Source organism: Homo sapiens, chromosome 19, assembly GCF_000001405.40.
Source record: "Homo sapiens chromosome 19, GRCh38.p14 Primary Assembly".
NCBI lineage: Eukaryota > Metazoa > Chordata > Mammalia > Primates > Hominidae > Homo > Homo sapiens.
In genome coordinates, this window is record NC_000019.10 from 48,445,974 (window position 1) to 48,463,772 (window position 17,799).

The 17,799-nt window shown below is 54.3% G+C and overlaps 2 protein-coding genes across 2 annotated transcripts in view, besides 2 other annotated features; both read left to right on the top strand.

Annotated features, from left to right (window-relative positions):
* Window positions 1–90: an enhancer, noted in NCBI's record as "active region_14896". NCBI's record gives its function as "activates an Ori minimal core promoter by ATAC-STARR-seq in GM12878 lymphoblastoid cells {active_cell/tissue: GM12878}" and the evidence as "EXISTENCE:reporter gene assay evidence [ECO:0000049][PMID:35858748]".
* Window positions 10–11,049, top strand: GRWD1 (glutamate rich WD repeat containing 1). The gene is made up of 7 exons (NM_031485.4): window positions 10–219; window positions 412–529; window positions 708–870; window positions 4,340–4,553; window positions 4,693–4,835; window positions 5,061–5,258; window positions 6,735–11,049. Exons 1-7 carry the CDS (start codon window positions 33–35, stop codon window positions 7,050–7,052), a joined length of 1,341 nt encoding a protein of 446 aa, NP_113673.3. The 5' UTR covers window positions 10–32; the 3' UTR covers window positions 7,053–11,049.
* The window catches only part of KCNJ14 (potassium inwardly rectifying channel subfamily J member 14), an 11,407-nt gene continuing 3,208 nt past the window's right edge, over window positions 9,601–17,799 (top strand). Inside the window, exons 1-2 of the mRNA NM_013348.4 lie at window positions 9,601–9,885; window positions 15,697–16,465. Of these exons, the coding sequence (NP_037480.1) occupies window positions 15,752–16,465 (714 nt within the window). The 5' untranslated portion in view covers window positions 9,601–9,885; window positions 15,697–15,751. The remainder of the gene's footprint in view (window positions 9,886–15,696; window positions 16,466–17,799) is intronic.
* Window positions 15,616–16,574: an enhancer, noted in NCBI's record as "H3K27ac-H3K4me1 hESC enhancer chr19:48964846-48965804 (GRCh37/hg19 assembly coordinates)". NCBI's record gives its function as "activates a minimal SCP1, AML or CMV promoter by ChIP-STARR-seq in primed H9 embryonic stem cells {active_cell/tissue: H9 hESC(primed)}" and the evidence as "EXISTENCE:reporter gene assay evidence [ECO:0000049][PMID:30033119]".

Sequence of the window (17,799 nt, forward strand, 5' to 3'; positions counted from 1 at the left end):
TTACCGGGTGTCAGCAGCGAGAGGGTTCGAAGATGGCGGCGCGCAAGGGTCGGCGGCGCACGTGTGAAACCGGGGAACCCATGGAAGCCGAGTCCGGCGACACAAGTTCCGAGGGCCCGGCCCAGGTCTACCTGCCCGGCCGGGGGCCGCCGCTACGCGAAGGGGAGGAGCTGGTCATGGACGAGGAGGCCTATGTGCTCTACCACCGAGCGCAGACTGGTAGGGCTGAGTCCGGACTCCAGGGTCCTGAGGTGGCTGATCCCGAGCCTTTAACCTGAGAGGTGCTCGGGAAGAGAAGGCTGGGGTCTAAGAGAAGTGATTTCATACCGGAGGCGGTTGATCCATGAGGGAGGTGGGGACTGAGCTCTTACTGTCCCGTCTTAACTCGTAAACCCCGCCTTCCATCCCCAGGCGCCCCCTGTCTCAGCTTTGACATAGTCCGGGATCACCTGGGAGACAACCGGACAGAGCTTCCTCTTACACTTTACTTGTGTGCTGGGACCCAGGCTGAGAGCGCCCAGAGCAACAGGTAAGACCCGAGGCTTTTCCAGGACCAGGAGGCTCAGTTTCCAGCCCCTTCCTCAGCACCCAGGAGTTAGGGCTTCCAGTTTCTGCCTCTCGCAGATCCAGGAGTCTGGGTTTCCAGCCTCTCTCCTTCCTAAGAATCCTGGAATCTAGTGCCTAACTCACCCCACAATTTCTCCCAGACTGATGATGCTTCGGATGCACAATCTGCATGGGACAAAGCCCCCACCCTCAGAGGGCAGTGATGAAGAAGAAGAGGAGGAAGATGAAGAGGATGAAGAAGAGCGGAAACCTCAGCTGGAGCTGGCCATGGTGCCCCACTATGGTGGCATCAACCGAGTTCGGGTAAGTATGGTCCCAGGAGCCTGCTCTGCATACTCTGAAACACATCTGACCCATCCCCTGTGTCCATAACTCCCAACACCTCCTCATGTTCTTTTTTTTTTTTTTTTTTTTGAGACGTAGTCTCGCTCTGTCACCCAGGCTGGAGTGCAGTGGCGCAGCCTCGGCTCACTGCAACCTCTGCCTCCCAAAGTGCTGGGATTACAAGCGTGAGCCACCGTGCCTGGCCCATTTTTTTTTTTTTTTTTTTTGAGATGGAGTCTCGCTCTGTTGTCCAGGCTGGAGTGCAGTGGTGCGATCTTGGCTCACTGCAACCTCCCCTTCCCAGGTTCAAGGGATTCTCCTGCCTCAGCCTCCCAAGTAGCTGGGGCTATAGGCGCCTGCCACCAGGCCCTTCTAATTTTTTGTTTTTTGGTTTTTTTTTGAGATGAAGTCTTGCTCTGTCGCTTAGACTGGAGGGCAATGGCATGATCTCAGCTCACTGCAACCTCTGCCTCCCAGGTTCAAGCGATTCTCCTGCCTCAGCCAAGTAGCTGAGATTACAGGTGCGCGCCACCACGCCCGGCTAATTTTTGTATTCTTAGTAGGGACGGGGTTTCACAATGTTGATCAGGCTGGTGGTGAACTCCTGACCTCGTGATCCGCCTGCCTCGGCTTCCCAAAGTGCTGAGATTACAGGCGTGAGCCACCGCATCTGGCCAATTTTTTGTATTTTTAGTAGAGACAAGGTTTCGCCTTGTTGGCTAGGCTGGTCTCAAACTCCTGACCTCGAGTGATTGATCCGCACGCCTCGGGCACCCAAAGTCATGGGATTACAAGCGTGAGCCACCACACCCGGCCTCCTTCAGTTTTTAGAAAAGTACTTGTCACATAGTTTTATACAATTTAGCTATTATGATCAGTGTCATTACATGTTAGGTACTGTTTTAGATTATGAGGATATGGTTTATGTTCTTCACTTTTCTCTTTGGTAACATAGTGAGTTATAGAACTTATCTGATGGGGCTGGCATGAGGTCAAATGAAATAACATATAGTGCCTAGAATAGCACCTGGTTGTAATATGAGGTATGTATTTTCTGTTACTATTCAGGAACTGTTTTTGGTTGTGGCTGTTTGTTTTGTTTTTGAGTCATGGTTTCACTCCCATTGCCCAGGCTGGAGTGCAGTGGCGTGATCTTGGCTCACTGCAACCTCTGCCTCCCAGGTTCAAGTGATTCTCCTGCCTCAGCCTCCCGAGTAGCTGGGATCACAAGTGCACACCACCATGCCCAGTAATTTTTGTATTTTTAGTAGAAATGGAGTCTCATTATGTTGGCCAGGCTGGTCTTGAACTCCTGAGCTCAAGTGATCTGCCCACCTTCGCCCCCAAAATGCTGGGATTATAGGCATGAGGCACTGTGTCCAGCCTGTTTATTTGTTTTTTGCTTCAAAGCTAAAACATCTTCTGATCAGGTAGACTTGTAAGTACAATGATACGGTATATGAAGAGCACTTAGAGCAGTACTTGGCTGATAGCTGGGGCTGTCTGTTTCCATGAAATTATTTTTACTATGTTTCAGTACTGTTCTAGATGCAGAGGATTTAGCAGCAAGCAAAAGGTCTCTGGCTCCATCAACTTACACACTAGTGGGGGAAGGGAACGAGATGAAACTAAGTAAATGTGTACCATGTCCAAAGGTGTTAACTATCCTGGAAAAAATCCAATGAAGTAGGGGAAGAGGGTTAGGGTGCTCCAGGAGTGGGGTGCTATTTTTAAACAGTGTGGTTAGGAAAGTATTCTGTCATAAAATGCCATTTGCATAGATACTCACAGGTAGTGGGGCAGTGAACCCTGTAAAAGAATTTGCAGGCAAGGAAAAACACAAGTTCAAAGGCCCTGGGGTGAGCTTGGCATGTTTGAAGAGTTTCAAGTGAAGCGGGAGTGTCCAGTCTGTCTGGAGCAGAATGAACAAAAGGGAGAATGACACAATTTGGGGAGCGGGCACAGAGAAGACATTGTTCAGAGCCTTGTCGGCCACTGTAAGGACTCCAGCTTTTAATTGGGAGACGTTGGAGGGTTTCAGGCAGAGGAAAGACAGGGTCTGACTTCTGTTTTAAAGTGGTCCCTCTGGCTGCTGTCCTTAAATATCAATTGCAGAGAGGTAAGGGTCGGAGGAAAGAATCCTGTGGGGAGACTTACGGTATTCAGGGGAAGGATGACATCAGTAGTAGTGTGACAGCAATAGACATCATGAGAAGGGGGTTGGAAGTGAGCTTTTTTTTTTAGATGAGACAGAGTCTCGCTTTTGTCGCCCAGGCCGGAGCGCAATGGTGCGATCTCGGCTCACTGCAACCTCTGACTCCTGGGTTCAAGCGATTCTCCTGCCTCAGCCTCCTAAGTAGCTGGGATTACAGCCACCCACCAGCACGCCCGACTAATTTTTGCATTTTTAGTAGAGGCGGGGTTTCATCATGTTGGCCAGGGTGGTCTCGCTCCTGACCTCAGGCAGTCTGCCCTCCTCGGCCTCCCAAAGTGCTGGGATTACAGGTGCGAGCCACCGCGCCTGGCCCTGGAAGTGAGCATTTTTACTGTAGTCAGCATAGGTGCTGGGCATGAGGACCAAGAATGAGTTCTGAATTTTGGGGCCTGAGGTGGAGAGAGAGCAGTTGCAGGTGGCAATTAGGAGCTTGGCTTTGGTTGTATCAAGTTTGAATGGTCAGGCTGGCACAGTGGCTGATGCCTGTAATCCCAGCACTTTGGAAAGCTGATGCAGAAGGATCGCTTGAGACCAGGAGTTCCAGACCAGCCTGGGCAATAAAGTGAGACCCTGTCTCTACAAAAAAATTTTAAAAGCCAGATGTGATGGTGCTTACCCATAGTCCCAACTACTTGGGAGGCTGAGGTGAGAGGATCACTTGAGCCCAGGAGGTTGAGGCTGCAGTGAGCCATTATGGCATCACTGCACTCCGTCCTGGGCAACAGAGCGGGACCCTGTCTCAAAAACAAAAAAGTTTGAACGGTCAATGCAGTAAGAGTCTGGAGCCCAGGGGAGAGGTCAGGGCTAGGGGTATTGGAAACCTCGTGGCTGGACTGGGTCTCCTAGTGAACAAACACAGAGGCAAGGAGATCCGAGGACTGAGTCTTGTGGCCTTCTAGCATTTAGAGGGTTACCGAGACCAGGAGCCTGAACACCCTCCCAAGGGCTGGTGGGAATTGCAGCCTCAACTCCCAGGCATCCTGGGGCTCTATCCTCCCACCTCAGCTCCCCCACCCACTCCCACCCCCTGTGGAGAGCTGTCCCAGTTACCATGCTGGTTTTTGCAGGTTGTGATTTTCTTCCCACAGAGGTTTCAAGGAGCTGTAGTCCCAGGCCTGGGAGATCTGAGGAAGCGCACTTCTGGTTCTCTGGGATATGGGGAGCGTGGGGTCAGTGCCTTGATCCTCCTCTCCCCTCGCTTCACATCACCCTTCCCCCACCGCTCTTCTGCAGGTGTCATGGCTGGGTGAAGAGCCTGTGGCTGGGGTGTGGTCAGAGAAGGGCCAGGTGGAGGTGTTTGCGCTGCGGCGGCTTCTGCAGGTGGTGGAGGAGCCCCAGGCCCTGGCAGCCTTCCTCCGGGATGAGCAGGCCCAAATGAAGCCCATCTTCTCCTTCGCTGGACACATGGGCGAGGGCTTTGCCCTTGACTGGTCCCCCCGGGTGACCGGTGAGTCCCTGGGGTGTTCAGGAGTCCCGGGAGGTCGGGGGAGCAGGGTCTGCAACAAGGGGCCGGGCGCTTAGACTCCAAGGAGGGGAGCGAGCTGCGGCCAGGTGGGGCGAGGTCATTTCCTGACTCCCTTCCCCAGGTCGCCTGCTGACCGGTGACTGTCAAAAGAACATCCACCTCTGGACACCTACGGACGGCGGCTCCTGGCACGTGGACCAGCGGCCATTCGTGGGCCACACACGCTCTGTGGAGGACCTGCAGTGGTCACCGACTGAGAACACGGTGAGGGAGGGTGGGGTTCTGGTCGTTTAGTTCTGATGGATTCTAGGCCAGGGACCTAGAATCCTAGGTCTGAGGGAAAAGAGGGCTGGGAGCCTGACGGAGGTTTAGTTTCCAGGCCAAGTCATAGTAAGGGGAACAGTGAAAGAGAGAGTAGCCCACCGCTGGCGCTTGGGCTTCACTGCGGGCTGGGGGGCATTGGGACCACTCAGACTCCGCCTCCCCCAGGTGTTTGCCTCCTGCTCAGCTGACGCCTCCATCCGCATCTGGGACATCCGGGCAGCCCCCAGCAAGGCCTGCATGCTCACCACAGCCACCGCCCATGATGGGGACGTCAATGTCATCAGCTGGAGCCGCCGGGAGCCCTTCCTGCTCAGTGGCGGGGATGATGGGGCCCTCAAGATCTGGGACCTTCGGCAGTTCAAGGTATTTTCCCAGCCGGACACCTGGGGGCTAGAGAAGCTTGCTCCCAGCAGCCCCTGGGATTTGTAGGATTTTTCCTCCTTGAATAGTTTTACACAACCAGAGCTGGAGAGCCCTTAGAACTAGACTCCTGCCTCTTCAGGGTACAGAGGAGGAAACTGAGGCTCAGCAAGAGGAAGGGTGGCGGGTCTCCACTCTTGGGGTCACTCACTCTACCAGGGGAACAGCTGACAAGAGATGGAAGGGGCTGGGGCAGCAGAGACTAGGACTCTCATCTGCCTGTGGGCAGAAGTACAGGTGTCTGTACGGCCAGTGCTGAGAGCTTCAGAGAGTTGTAGATTTCTAGATGCAACTGAGAATCGGGGCCCAGCCTGCTCGTTGTAGGAGAAGACTGAGGCACAGAAAGGACAGGAGCCGCTGTGACATGACAGCCAAGCTAGAGGTTGACATTGTGGAGCTGGGAGGGTCCCTGTGCAGGAGAAGTTGCAGCGTCCGGCATCCCTCTGGACAAAGCCGCAGCTTTGTGTGGCTCTGCCTTCCCGGGCTGCCATGATGTCATCCTTTTTCTCCTCCAGTTTGATCGTTTCTATAGCGTCAGCCCTGGGGAGGAGGCTGGAGACGGATTCCAGCCTCCCAGGCCCACCAGGTCACACAGGGCCCAGCTTGTTGACCATTGGAACTTCAGAGCAGCCTCTCCTAATGAGAGAGACGCCAATTGAGCGGGGCCTTTGCTGTAGTGAAAGTGCTGTCATTCTTAGTCTTTCTTTGGGTCGGCTTCCGGGGATTGTGTTTCTGCCTCCTTTGAGGCCTTTGTAGAATCTGCTGGGAGAGCTCTGGGAGAGCCATGCCCTCCTTTTTTTCTTTTTTTTTTTTTTTTTCTTTTTTTTTGCGATGGAGTTTTGCTCTTGTTTCCCAGGCTGGAGTGCAGTGGCGCAATCTCGGCTCACTGCAACCTCCCGCTCCTGGGTTCAAGCGATTCTCCTGCCTCAGCCTCCTGAGTAACTGGGATTACAGGCATGTGACACCAGCCCGGCTAATTTTGTATTTTTAGTAGAGATGGGGTTTCACCATGTTGTTCAGGCTGGTCTCCAACTCCTGACCTCGGGTGATCCACCCGCCTTGGCCTCCCAAGGTGCTGAGATTACAGTCGTGAGCCACCGCACCCAGCCCATGCCCTCCTTTTACAAGGAAGAAAACAGGCAGGCAGAGGGAAGAGCAGGGGCGGGGGTTTTGCTACCTGAGCTGGGAGGGGCTTCTTTGCAGGTGAATCACAGTTCCCAGCAACCCCTGGGCTGGTCAGCCTTCTTAGCAGCCAGAATTACCCTGTGTCCCTTTCCTGGACTCTGGGCTTGTGAGGGCTTAAGGGGTGGGGCCCTGGCTGAACCCTGAGGCTGGAGAAGGGTTGGGGCTTCTGCCTGGGTCCTCCCCAGAGTCAGGCTGAGGCATTCAGAGCCCGTTCCTCCCATCCTCTCCCTCTAGTCTGGTTCCCCAGTGGCCACCTTCAAGCAGCACGTGGCCCCCGTGACCTCCGTCGAGTGGCACCCCCAGGACAGCGGGGTCTTTGCAGCCTCGGGTGCAGACCACCAGATCACACAGTGGGACCTGGCAGTGGAGCGGGACCCTGAGGCGGGCGACGTGGAGGCCGACCCCGGACTGGCCGACCTCCCGCAGCAGCTGCTGTTCGTGCACCAGGGCGAGACCGAGCTGAAGGAGCTGCACTGGCACCCGCAGTGCCCAGGGCTCCTGGTCAGCACGGCGCTGTCAGGCTTCACCATCTTCCGCACCATCAGCGTCTGAGGCGTCCCACTGGCTCTGATCTTGCTTCCTGCTTGGAAACTGAAGTCGAATTGGGCTCCCCTGGAAGGGGTTCATTCAGGTCTGTTGACTGAGACTGGCCGGCCTGTGGGCTGCCGTGATGGATTCTGTTTGACGTATTGTTCTCTAGAAGGCCTGGCTCTGATCCAGTGACCCCTCTCACCAAAGAACTCGGTTTAACCAGGGCTCTGTAAGACCACTCCCACCCAGAGACTTGTGTGGCCTGGTGTGGCCTGTGTGTCGGATTCCTTCCTGTCAGCTGTGACCCATTTGACCTGTGTCCCCAGAACCCAGTTTTTTGTTTGTTTGTTTGAGACGGAGTCTTGGTCTGTCGCCCAGGCTGGAGTGCAGTAGCACGATCTTGGCTCACTGCAACCTCCGCCTCCTGGGTTAAAGTGATTCTCTCAGCTCAGTCTCCCAGGTAGCTGGGATTACAGGCATGTGCCACCACACCCCGTTAATTTTTGTATTTTTAGTAGAGACGGGGTTTCACCATGTTGGCCAGGCTGGTCTCAAATTCTTGATCTCAAGTGATCTGTCCGCCCCGGCCTCCCAGAGTGCTGGGTTGGGATTACAGGCGTGAGCCACCGCGTCCGGCTCAGGACCCAGTTTTGGCTGCTGGTTCCCAGCAGGGGACTCGGGGGATATACAGTGGCTGCACCAAATTGGAGGTGTGGGTTCCTCCAACACAATTTGCTTCTGCCCGTTGTCTTCCTGCCAGCTGGGTTTGGCCAGGATTTCTCCGTGTGGGGGCTACATGCGACCCTCTCCCCTCCTCCCTGACTTTAGAGGCTGGTGCTGTGTCGGGAGGAAGGTCAGGGCTCCTGAGCAGCAATAAAGGACCAGGAAGAGGCCTGAGGTGTATTTGAGACTCTGGTCCTTTGGCCACAGCCCTATGAGGAAACGGGGTGTGGGGGGAGTTTGGGGGTGGGGAGGAATTTGGCACCAGCTGCCCCCAGGCCGCTAGGCTGGGGGAGGCCACTGGGAGTCCAGTGCAACCCAACCTTCCGCCCACTGGGTGCCGCCGCGTTCTGCCTTCTCTAAGTGTCCTTCCATCTGGAACTCACTCTGGCTTAGTGAAAGGGGCCTCATCCCTGACCCCCACCAGCTTATGAAGGCTTCATCTCAGGGAACTCTGGACCCCCCATTTCTCCCTCCGTCCATCTCCCCTTTATCACGTTTCTTTCTTTCTTCTCTGTGTCCCCCTCTTTCAGAGTCTCCCGTCCCCCACTGCCAGTCTCCCTGCCCCCTAGTCGCTGTCTCGCTCCTCCGCCGCTGTCTCCTGTCCAGCCTGCCTGGGCTGTGGCCCAGCCGCTCTGCCTGGCTGGCCTCCCTGGCTCCCCCTCTGCGGCTCTGAGCTAGCCCCACCCCCGGCCCCCCTCCATCCAGCCTCTGATCCATCTGTGGACTCCGAGGTCGGGTGCCCGTCACACGGCCCCTGGGACCAAGGACAGACTACAGCCCCTCAGCACCCACAGAGGCTTCCCCTCAGCCCTAGCCGAGGAGCCCCCAGCGGAGGGCATGGGGGTGGGCCGCCCCAACAGGTACGTGCCTCCATGCAAGGCACCGCTGAGCCATCCCCTCCTGCTCTGCTGCGTCGCCCCCATCCACCCCTGCCCCAGCATCCCTGTCCTCAGCTTGTCCCCTTCAAGAAGGCCTTGTCTTCCCATCAGTGACAGGCTCAGCGCCAGGAGAATCCACCCCCAGGTTCAGTGCCTCCAACTCTCACCCCATCCCCATTTTATGCATTTTCTCACTGGCTTCCATCCTTTCAGAGAAACCCTCTCAGTCTGTCTGTCTCTGTCTCTGTCTCTCTCCCCCATCTCTGTCTCTCCCATCTCTCTCTGCCTCTCTCTGTCTTCACAATTTCATCTCCCCATGTCGCCATTTCTTAAAACATTTCTTTTCTCCTTTTCGTTTTCCCAATTGCCCTGTCCGCCTCTATCTTCTCTGTCCCCCTCCATCTAGGTCTCTGTCCCCCCCTCTCTCTGGGTCTCTGTCCCCCTCTGTCTCTGAGTCTCTATCCTCTCAAGGTCTCTGTTCCCCTCTCTCTGGGTCTCTGTCCTCTCTCAAGGTCTCTGTCCCTTTCTCTCTGGATCAATGTCCCTTTCCTGCTGCCCTCTCTGGGTCTCTGTCCCCCTCTCTCTCAGGGTCCCTGTCCTGCTTGGTCCCTGTACTTTTTCTTGGGGCACCCTCTCAACACCCCTCCTCCTGCCTATCTCTGCATCTCTTTGTCTTTCTGTAGTCTCTGCTTTCCAACCTGCTGTCCAGCCCCCACCAGTAGGTGGGGAGTGGTGGGGAACACCCCTGGTTTCGGAAGAGTGAGAGTGTTGATTTGGGAGGGTGAGGGTGGGGCCTGGGGGCGGGGCTTCTTGGCCTCAGATTAGACAGTGACTTTGACACGAAGTTGAAGCACCTTAAGCCCTGTATCTCCTTTATATGGAAACATTAAGCTGCTCTCGCAGGTCAGGTGGAGGATCCCTTTCCCTCCCGCCCTGCTTTTGCTAGGGGAGGGGGGTGCCCTGAGCCTGAGTCGCAGCCAGCCTGGGAGCTGGGCCATGTTGGCCGCAGATGGCCCCCTGGTGAAGGTTCCCGTTGGCTTTGGGAAGTAGACAACGGGTCTGCCTCACGGGGCTGAGGTGGGACTGGAGGATTTCGAGGGCAGAACTCTGGGAAGGAAAGAAAGGCTTAGGACCCAACCAGCATTCCCCCTGGCACTGCGGGGGCCTGGCCAGCTCATGGCGTTCCCTGAGCCTGTTCCCCAACTGTGAAAGGGGGTGATGATCTTCACCTCCCGGCATCCTGAGCGGCCAAGGTGAGCAGTGGGGTCTGAGAGTCCAGTGGGGGCTGTGGGCATGTCGGGAGCTCATCACGAGGCCTCGTACATACCAGGTGTGTTTGAAACCAGAGTGCTCTTGAGAAGACTGTGGTTTGTCACTCGGGCCGTGGCTCCCAGGAGGCCTGGGTGGGAGGCTAGCTTTTGCCACTCCTCTCCCCACTGGCTGAGAGACCTGCGACAAGGGACTAACCTCAGCCCCAGTTGGCTTTTCTGTGAAAAGCCAGGTCCCTTCATCAAAGGGCTTTGGTGAGAGATGGGCAAGTGGGGGTGAGAGGCCCAGGCTGGGGCCTGGGGAGCACAGGTCAGTGTCAGTGCCCACCTGCCCCCCCAGCCCACGGGGGTGGTTCCTGAGGGTGGAGTCAGTGCTGAGTGGGGATCCCCAGGCTGGGGAGGGCTGCAGGTGTAGATGCTGCATCCTGATGTTGACCTCCAGGCCGCCCCCTTGGGCAACGAGCCTATTTCCCCTTTTTGGGAGAACAGTCTCTAACATGCAGGGTTGTCAGGGGTGAGATAGAGTCAAGGTTGGGGTACACTGTGGGCACTGGACACAGCCAGGCTGGTCCCCTCACCTCAGCCTTGCCTCTGTCAAGTGGGCCTAATGAACCCTCGCGAATGGCCAGGCTGCCTGCGTGGTTGTGGGAAGCAGGTGCAGGGCTTTGGGAGACCCAGTTGGTGCCAAACTTGACATTGTCTCATGGTCTTCTTTCCAAATGGAGTGTGCCAGGCCCTGCCAAGAAGCCCCTGAGGATCCCCAGGTTCCAGCACAAATTATTTAACCCCTGGAATGGTTTGTCCTGATCCAGCCAGTTCCTGGGAAGTTCCCCACCACAGGGCCAAGCGTTTGGTAACGTTGCAGTGAACCCTGAAGGCAATGAGGGGTGCGGGTCCATGCCCAGCCCTTTCCTTTGGTCCACCCTGACAGGCTGCTGCGATTCCCTCCATTTCTTTTCTTCCTTTATTTTTTATTTTTAATTATTTATTTATTTTTTAGAGACAGGGTTTTGCTGTCTTCCCCAGGCTGGTTCTCAAACCCCTGGCCTCACGCATTCCTCCTGAGTTGGACTCCCAAAGTGCTAGGATTACAGGTGTGAGCCACCGCACCTGCCCTCTTTTTTTTTTTTTTTTCTTTAAGAGATAGGGTCTTGCTCTGTTGCCCAGGCTGCAGTGCAGTGGTAGAGCATCATAGCTCACTGCAGCCTTGAACTCTGGGCTCAAGTGATCCCCCACCTCAGTCTCCACAGTAGCTGCATCACCATGGCTGGATACTTTTTGTTTTTAAGATAGGGTCTCGCCATGTTCCCTAAGCTGGTTTCAGACTCCCGGGTTCCAACAGTCCTCCCACCTTGGCCTCCCAGAGTGCTGGGATTACAGGTGTGAGCCACCATGCCCAGCCCCCAGGCCTCCTGCCTTTCACAGATGAGAGCTGAGGCTCAGGAAAGGATTTGACCTGTCATCCATCACACACCTAGTAAATGGTTGAGCAAACTGAGTCTCTGGAAAAAGAAGCCAGAGATCCCAGGGGACATGGTGGGTGAGCAACTAAGCCAGGACTGGGCCCTCATCCATATGGTAAGAAGGCCCTTCCTGGTCTTTTAAGAAGTCCCAATTTCCCCACCTTACAATGGAGGAAACCGAGACTCAGAAAGAGTTGCCAAAGATCAGAGGGTCGGGCATGAGGCCCATTTCATTTATTTTACAATAGCTTCATTGAAATCTAATTCACATATCATATCATACACTCACTACAGGGTACAATTCAATGGCTTTTAGTGTATTCACAATTGTGCAGCCATCACAATTAATTTTTTTTTTTTAAATGGAGTCTTGCTTTGTCGCCCAAGCTCGAGTGCACTCGTGCACTCTCAGCTCACTGCAACCTCCACCTCCCGGGTTCAAGTGATTCTCCCACCTCAGCCTCCCGAGTAGCTGGGATTACAGGTGCGCGCCTGTAATCACCATACCCGGCTAATTTTTGTTATTTTTAGTGGAGACGGGGTTTCACCATGTTGGCCAAGCTGGTCTCGAACTCCTGACCTCAAATGATCTGCCTACCTTGGCCTCCCAAAGTCCTGGGATTACAGGTGCGAGCCACCGCACCTGGCCAGCATAATGTTTTCAAGGTTTATCCATGTTGTTGCATCTATCGATACTTCATTTCTCTTTATTGTCAAATACTATTCATTGGATGAATATACCACATTTTATTTATTCATTAGTTGGTTGATACTTGGGTTTCCACCTTTTGGCTATTATGAGTAATGCTGCTGTGAACATTTGTGTACCAGTTTTTGCATCTGTTTTCATTTCTCTTGGGTACATAAGTAGGAGTGCAATTGCTGGGTGATGTGGTAATTCTATGTTTAACCATTTAAGTAACTGCCAGACTGCTTCCTACAGCAGCTGCAATTTTTCATTCCCCACAGCAGTGTATGAGGATGCCAATTTCTCCACATTCTCGCCAACACTTGTTTTTTTTATTATAGCCATTCTAAGTGGGTGCAAAATGGTATTCCTTTGTGCTTTTGATTTGCATTTCTCTGATGGCTAATGATGTTGAGCATCTTTTCATATGTTTATGAGCCATTTGTATACCTTCTTTGGAGAAACGTCTGTACAGATCCTTTGCCTACTTTTTTTGTGCCTCAGCCTCCAGAGTAGCTGGGACTACAGATGTGCACCACCAGGCCCGGCTAATTTTTGGATTTTTAATAGAGACGGGATTTTGCCATGTTGGCCAGGCTGGTCTCAAACTCCTGAGCTCAAGTGATCCAGCTTCCTCGGCCTCGCAAAGTGTTAGGATTACAGGCGTGAGCTGCTGTGCCTGGCCCCCTTTGCCCACTTTTAAATTGGGTTATTTGGCACTAGCCCACATCGTGAAACCCTGTCTCTACTAAAAATACAAAAATTAGCTGGGATGGTGGCATGAGCCTGTAATTCCAGATACTCAGGAGGCTGAGGCAAGAGAATCTCTTGTACCCAGGAGGTGGAGGTTGCAGTGAGCTGAGATTGCGCCACTGCACTCCAGCCTGGGCCACTGAGTGAGACTCCGTCTCAAAAAAAAAAAAAAAAAAAAAAAAGCCGGGGGTGGTGGCTCACGCCTGTAATCCCAGCACTTTGGGAGGCCGAGACAGGCGGATCACGAGGTCAGGAGATCGAGACCATCCTGGCTAACATGGTGAAACCCCGTCTCTACTAAAAATACAAAAAAAATTAGCCGGGCGTAGTGGCAGGCGCCTGTAGTCCCAGCCTCGGGAGGCTGAGGCAGGAGAATGGCGTGAACCCAGGAGGCGGAGCTTGCAGTGAGCCGAGATGGCGCCACTGCACTCCAGCCTGGGCAACTAAGCAAGACTCCGTCTCCAAAAAAAAAAAAAAAAAAAAAGTTTGGGGGGTGTTACTTATCTTTTCATGATTGAGTTGCAAGGGCTCTTTATATAGTCTAGATACAAGTTCCTCATCAGGTATATGATTTGCAACTACAGTATCTTCTCCCATTAGTGGGTTGTCTTTTCCCTTTCTTAAAAAGCTTTTTTGAGACATGGTCTTGCTCTGTCGCCCAGGCTAGAGTGCAGTGGTACAGTCGTAACTCACTGCAGCCTCAAACTCCTGGGCTTAAGCAATCCTCCCACCTCAACCTTCCAAGTAACTAGGACTACAGGTTTGCATTACCACATCTGGCTAATTTTTTAATTTTTTTGTAGAGCAAGCCCCTTGCTATGTTGTCCAGGCTGGTCATGAACTCCTGGGCTCAAATGATCCTCCTGCTTCAGCCTCCCAAAGCGCTAGGATACAGGTGTGTACCACCTCGCCTGGCCTCTCTTCACTTTCTTGATAGTGTCTTTCGGAGCACAAAAGTTTTTTAGTTCTGGCCGGGTGCAGTGGCTCACGCCTGTAATCCCAGTACTTTAGGAGGCCAAGGCAGGAGGATCACTTGAGGTCAGGAGTTCAAGACCAGCCTGGCCAACATGGTGAAACCCCATCTCCACTAAAAATACAAAAGTTAGCCAGGCGTGGTGGCATGTGCCTGTAATCCTGGCTGCTCGGGAGGCTGAGGCAGGAGAACCCAGGAGACAGAGATTGCAGTGAGCCAAGATCGCGCTACTGCACTCCAGTCTAGGTGACAAAGTGAGAGTCCATCTCAAAAAAAAAAAAAAAGTTATTTAGTTCTGATGCAATTCAATTGATGGATTTTTTCCTTTTGTTACTTTGTGAGCCTGTTTTTGAACCACAGCTGACCTCAGAGCCCTGAGGCATCTCTCCATGCTGAGAAGCAGTTACACCTTACGATTATGAGCATGGACCCTGGAGCTGGATGGCTAGCATTCAAATCCCAGTTTACTTACCTGTGGTCTTGGGGAAGTTTTATTTATTTATTTTTTTTGAGACAGAGTTTCACTCTTGTTGTCCAGGCTGGAGTGCAATGGCACGATCTCGGCTCACCGCAACCTCCACCTCCCAGGTTCAAGCGATTCTCCTGCCTCAGCCTCCCTAGTAGCTGGGATTACAGGCATGTGCCACCATGCCCGGCTAATTTTGTATTTTTAGTAGAGATGGGGTTTCTCCATGTTGGTCAGGCTGGTCTCGAACTCCTGACCTCAGGTGATCCGCCCGCCTCGGCCTCCCAAAGTGCTGGGATTACAGGCATGAACCACCACACCCGGCAGTCTTGGGGAAGTTGCTTAAACTTTCTGTGCTTCAGTTTCCTCATCTAGAAAATGGGGATAATGATGTCTGCCTCATAGGCTTGCTCTGAGGTTCAAATATGTAAATTCATGTAAAGTACTTACAACAACCTCCAAATTGTATAAACAGTATAATTGATAGAACACAAATTATGAATTCAGTACATAGATTTAGCACTGTATAAATGCATGCTGTAATTATTGTGGCACTTGCTATAATATCGTTATTGTTATAGTATTTTCCGTTGTTGTTGTACAAGTATCTTCTATAGTATTGTTGCTGTTTATCTTCCAACTTGGAAGGTGAGTATGGGCCAGGTGGGGTGGCTCAGGCCTGTAATCCCAGCACTTGGGAGGTTGAGGAGGGAAGATCGCTTGAGGCCAGGAGTTTGAGACCAGCCTGGGCAACATAGTGAGGCCCCTGTCTCTATAATATAAAAATTAAATTAAAAAAAAAATTTAAAAAAGAAGGTGGCTGGCCAGGCGCGGTGGCTCACGCCTGTAATCCCAGCACTTTGGGAGGCCAAAGCAGGCGGATCACGAGGTCAGGAGATCGAGACCATCTTGGCCAACATGGTGAAACCCCATCTCTACTTAAATTACAAAAACTTAGCTAGGCATGGTGGCCCGTGCCTGTAATCCCAGCTACTTGGGAGGCTGAGGCAGGCGAATCACTTGAACCTGGGAGGCAGAGGTTGCAGTGAGCTGAGGTTGCGGTGAGCTGAGATTGTGCCGCTGCACTCCAGCCTGGCGACAAAGCACGACTCCGTCTCAAAAAAAAAAAGAAAAGAAAAGAAAAAAGTTAAAAAAAAAATTACCCAGGAGTGGTGGTGTGCACCTGTAGTAATCCCAGCTACTCAGGAGGTTGAGACAGGAGAATCGCTTAAACTTGGGACGCGGAGATTGCAGTAAGCCAGGATCATGCCACTGCACTCCAGCTTGGGCGACAGAGCGAGACTCTGTCTCCAAAAAAAAAAAAAAAAAAAAAATGCGTATCGTTCCACCTATTTGACAGATGAGGCCACTAAGCCCCACCAGAAAGCATGCTTGGCCGATGAGCTCATCCATTCCTGTTGCCCCTGACGTTTCTGCCGGTTTCTTGTCCCAGCAGGTTGGGGGCGCCTGCCCCCCACTAGGCCAAGTGGAGGGGGTCCCTCCGTCCAATGGGCCTGGCCAGGGCCCTACGCCGCCTCAGCGGCGCCCTGGATTCGGGAGACAGCCGGGCGGGCGATGAAGAGGAGGCCGGGCCCGGGTTGTGCCGCAACGGGTGGGCGCCGGCACCGGTGCAGTCACCCGTGGGCCGGCGCCGCGGTCGCTTCGTCAAGAAAGACGGGCACTGCAACGTGCGTTTCGTAAACCTGGGTGGCCAGGGCGCGCGCTACCTGAGCGACCTGTTCACCACATGCGTGGACGTGCGCTGGCGCTGGATGTGCCTGCTCTTCTCCTGCTCCTTCCTCGCCTCCTGGCTGCTCTTCGGCCTGGCCTTCTGGCTCATTGCCTCGCTGCACGGCGACCTGGCCGCCCCGCCACCGCCCGCGCCCTGCTTCTCACACGTGGCCAGCTTCCTGGCCGCCTTCCTCTTCGCGCTGGAGACGCAGACGTCCATCGGCTACGGCGTGCGCAGCGTCACCGAGGAGTGCCCGGCCGCTGTGGCCGCCGTGGTGCTGCAGTGCATTGCCGGCTGCGTGCTCGACGCCTTCGTCGTGGGTGCTGTCATGGCCAAGATGGCCAAACCCAAGAAGCGCAACGAGACGCTGGTCTTCAGCGAGAACGCCGTCGTGGCGCTGCGCGACCACCGCCTCTGCCTCATGTGGCGCGTCGGCAACCTGCGCCGCAGCCACCTGGTCGAGGCCCACGTGCGTGCCCAGCTGCTGCAGGTGCGCCCGGGAGGAGAGGCGGGGACTTCCGTGAGCCCTGGGGGATTGTGGGAGATGTAGGCCCGAGGGCGAGGGGCGTGCGGTCCTGGAGGGGGCGTGGACTACAACTCCCAGCAGCCTCTTGGGCCTGGGGCCTGCGAATGGGTCACTGGGCAGCTGGGGATGTAAACCCAACAGAAAGGTATGTGACCAGCTCTTCCTGGAGGCCTGGATTTGGGGCATACAGAGCTTCCTGTGGCTTGAGGATTGCCCGCCTGTGGGTAGACCCCAAAAGGGCCACGCCTGGCCTGTCAAGGCTCTGGGCCGTAATTCCCAGAAGCCTCTGGGTCAAGGGACCTGTCCAAAGATGGGGTGGCCTCAGATGCAGCTTTGCGAGGGGGTGGTGGAGGGCCTGCGTGACCGTTCTATTACTCGGGTGTACAATTCCCACTGGACACTGTGGCACAGTCGGAGGCCTGTGACTTGAGGCCCCCGGGAGAAGCAGGCCCTGGAATGGGTGCAGCTCATCGCTGTGGAGCACAGTTCTCCAGGCCTCTAGGTGTGGGGTCCTGCGGCATCTGTGGGAGAATTCATTCCCCACCTCAGTGGCCCATTGTGTCCCACCAGCCTCCTAACCTCTGAGAGCAGGGTGGAGGTGGCAACGAAACGAAACTGCACCTCCCATTGGCCCCTGGGGTACTGGCTCCCTCCCTGCCCTGAGGAAGGGGCCTTAGCGTTCCTAGAATTGTGGTCAAATTGCTCAAACATCTCCGTTCCCAAGAAACTCTGGGCCGGCAGCTGCCGTGGCCCAAGTAAAGTGACTTTAGGACTCTGGGCTGAGGCTGGACTTGGAGAGGATCGGGGGTGGTGGGAGCTGCAACTCCCAGCCGCCTCTGGGGTTCCTCTACTTGGGGCTTCCAGAGACACTTACAAGAGGAGGATAGATGCCCACCTCCCACTTCAATCTCCTGCCTGAAGCTTTGAGATACCAGGATTCATGAATAGGAGGGACACTGGCTCTTGCAGAAGTCGGTGGGGCAGTGACTTGGCCTGGGAGGTGGCTATGGAACCAGCGGGTAGGCGGGGGTGAAATACCCACACCCCCACAAAGCGTGCTCACACACAGAATGACATGGAAGGGTTTGCAGTTGCCCTGACAGCTAGGATAGCTCAGGGGAGAGCCCAGGGATAAGCCTGAGGCAGTGGTGGGTGCAGAATGTTGGACCTAGGTTGCCCTAACTCCCCCTTCTTGTCATCTGATTTATCTTTCTCTGGCCACATACTAAAAGCCATTTTTCTCTCCCGCTCCTTCTCCAATTCTCTGTTGAATGTCATCCTTATTTTCCGTTGTCGCT

Coding starts and splice junctions, on each gene's coding strand:
- GRWD1 (NM_031485.4), top strand. CDS start 33: ATGGCGGCGCGCAAGGGTCGGCGGCGCACGTGTGAAACCGGGGAACCC. Junction 220..411: donor CTACCACCGAGCGCAGACTG/GTAGGGCTGAGT, acceptor TTCCATCCCCAG/GCGCCCCCTGTCTCAGCTTT. Junction 5,259..6,734: donor GGGACCTTCGGCAGTTCAAG/GTATTTTCCCAG, acceptor CTCTCCCTCTAG/TCTGGTTCCCCAGTGGCCAC.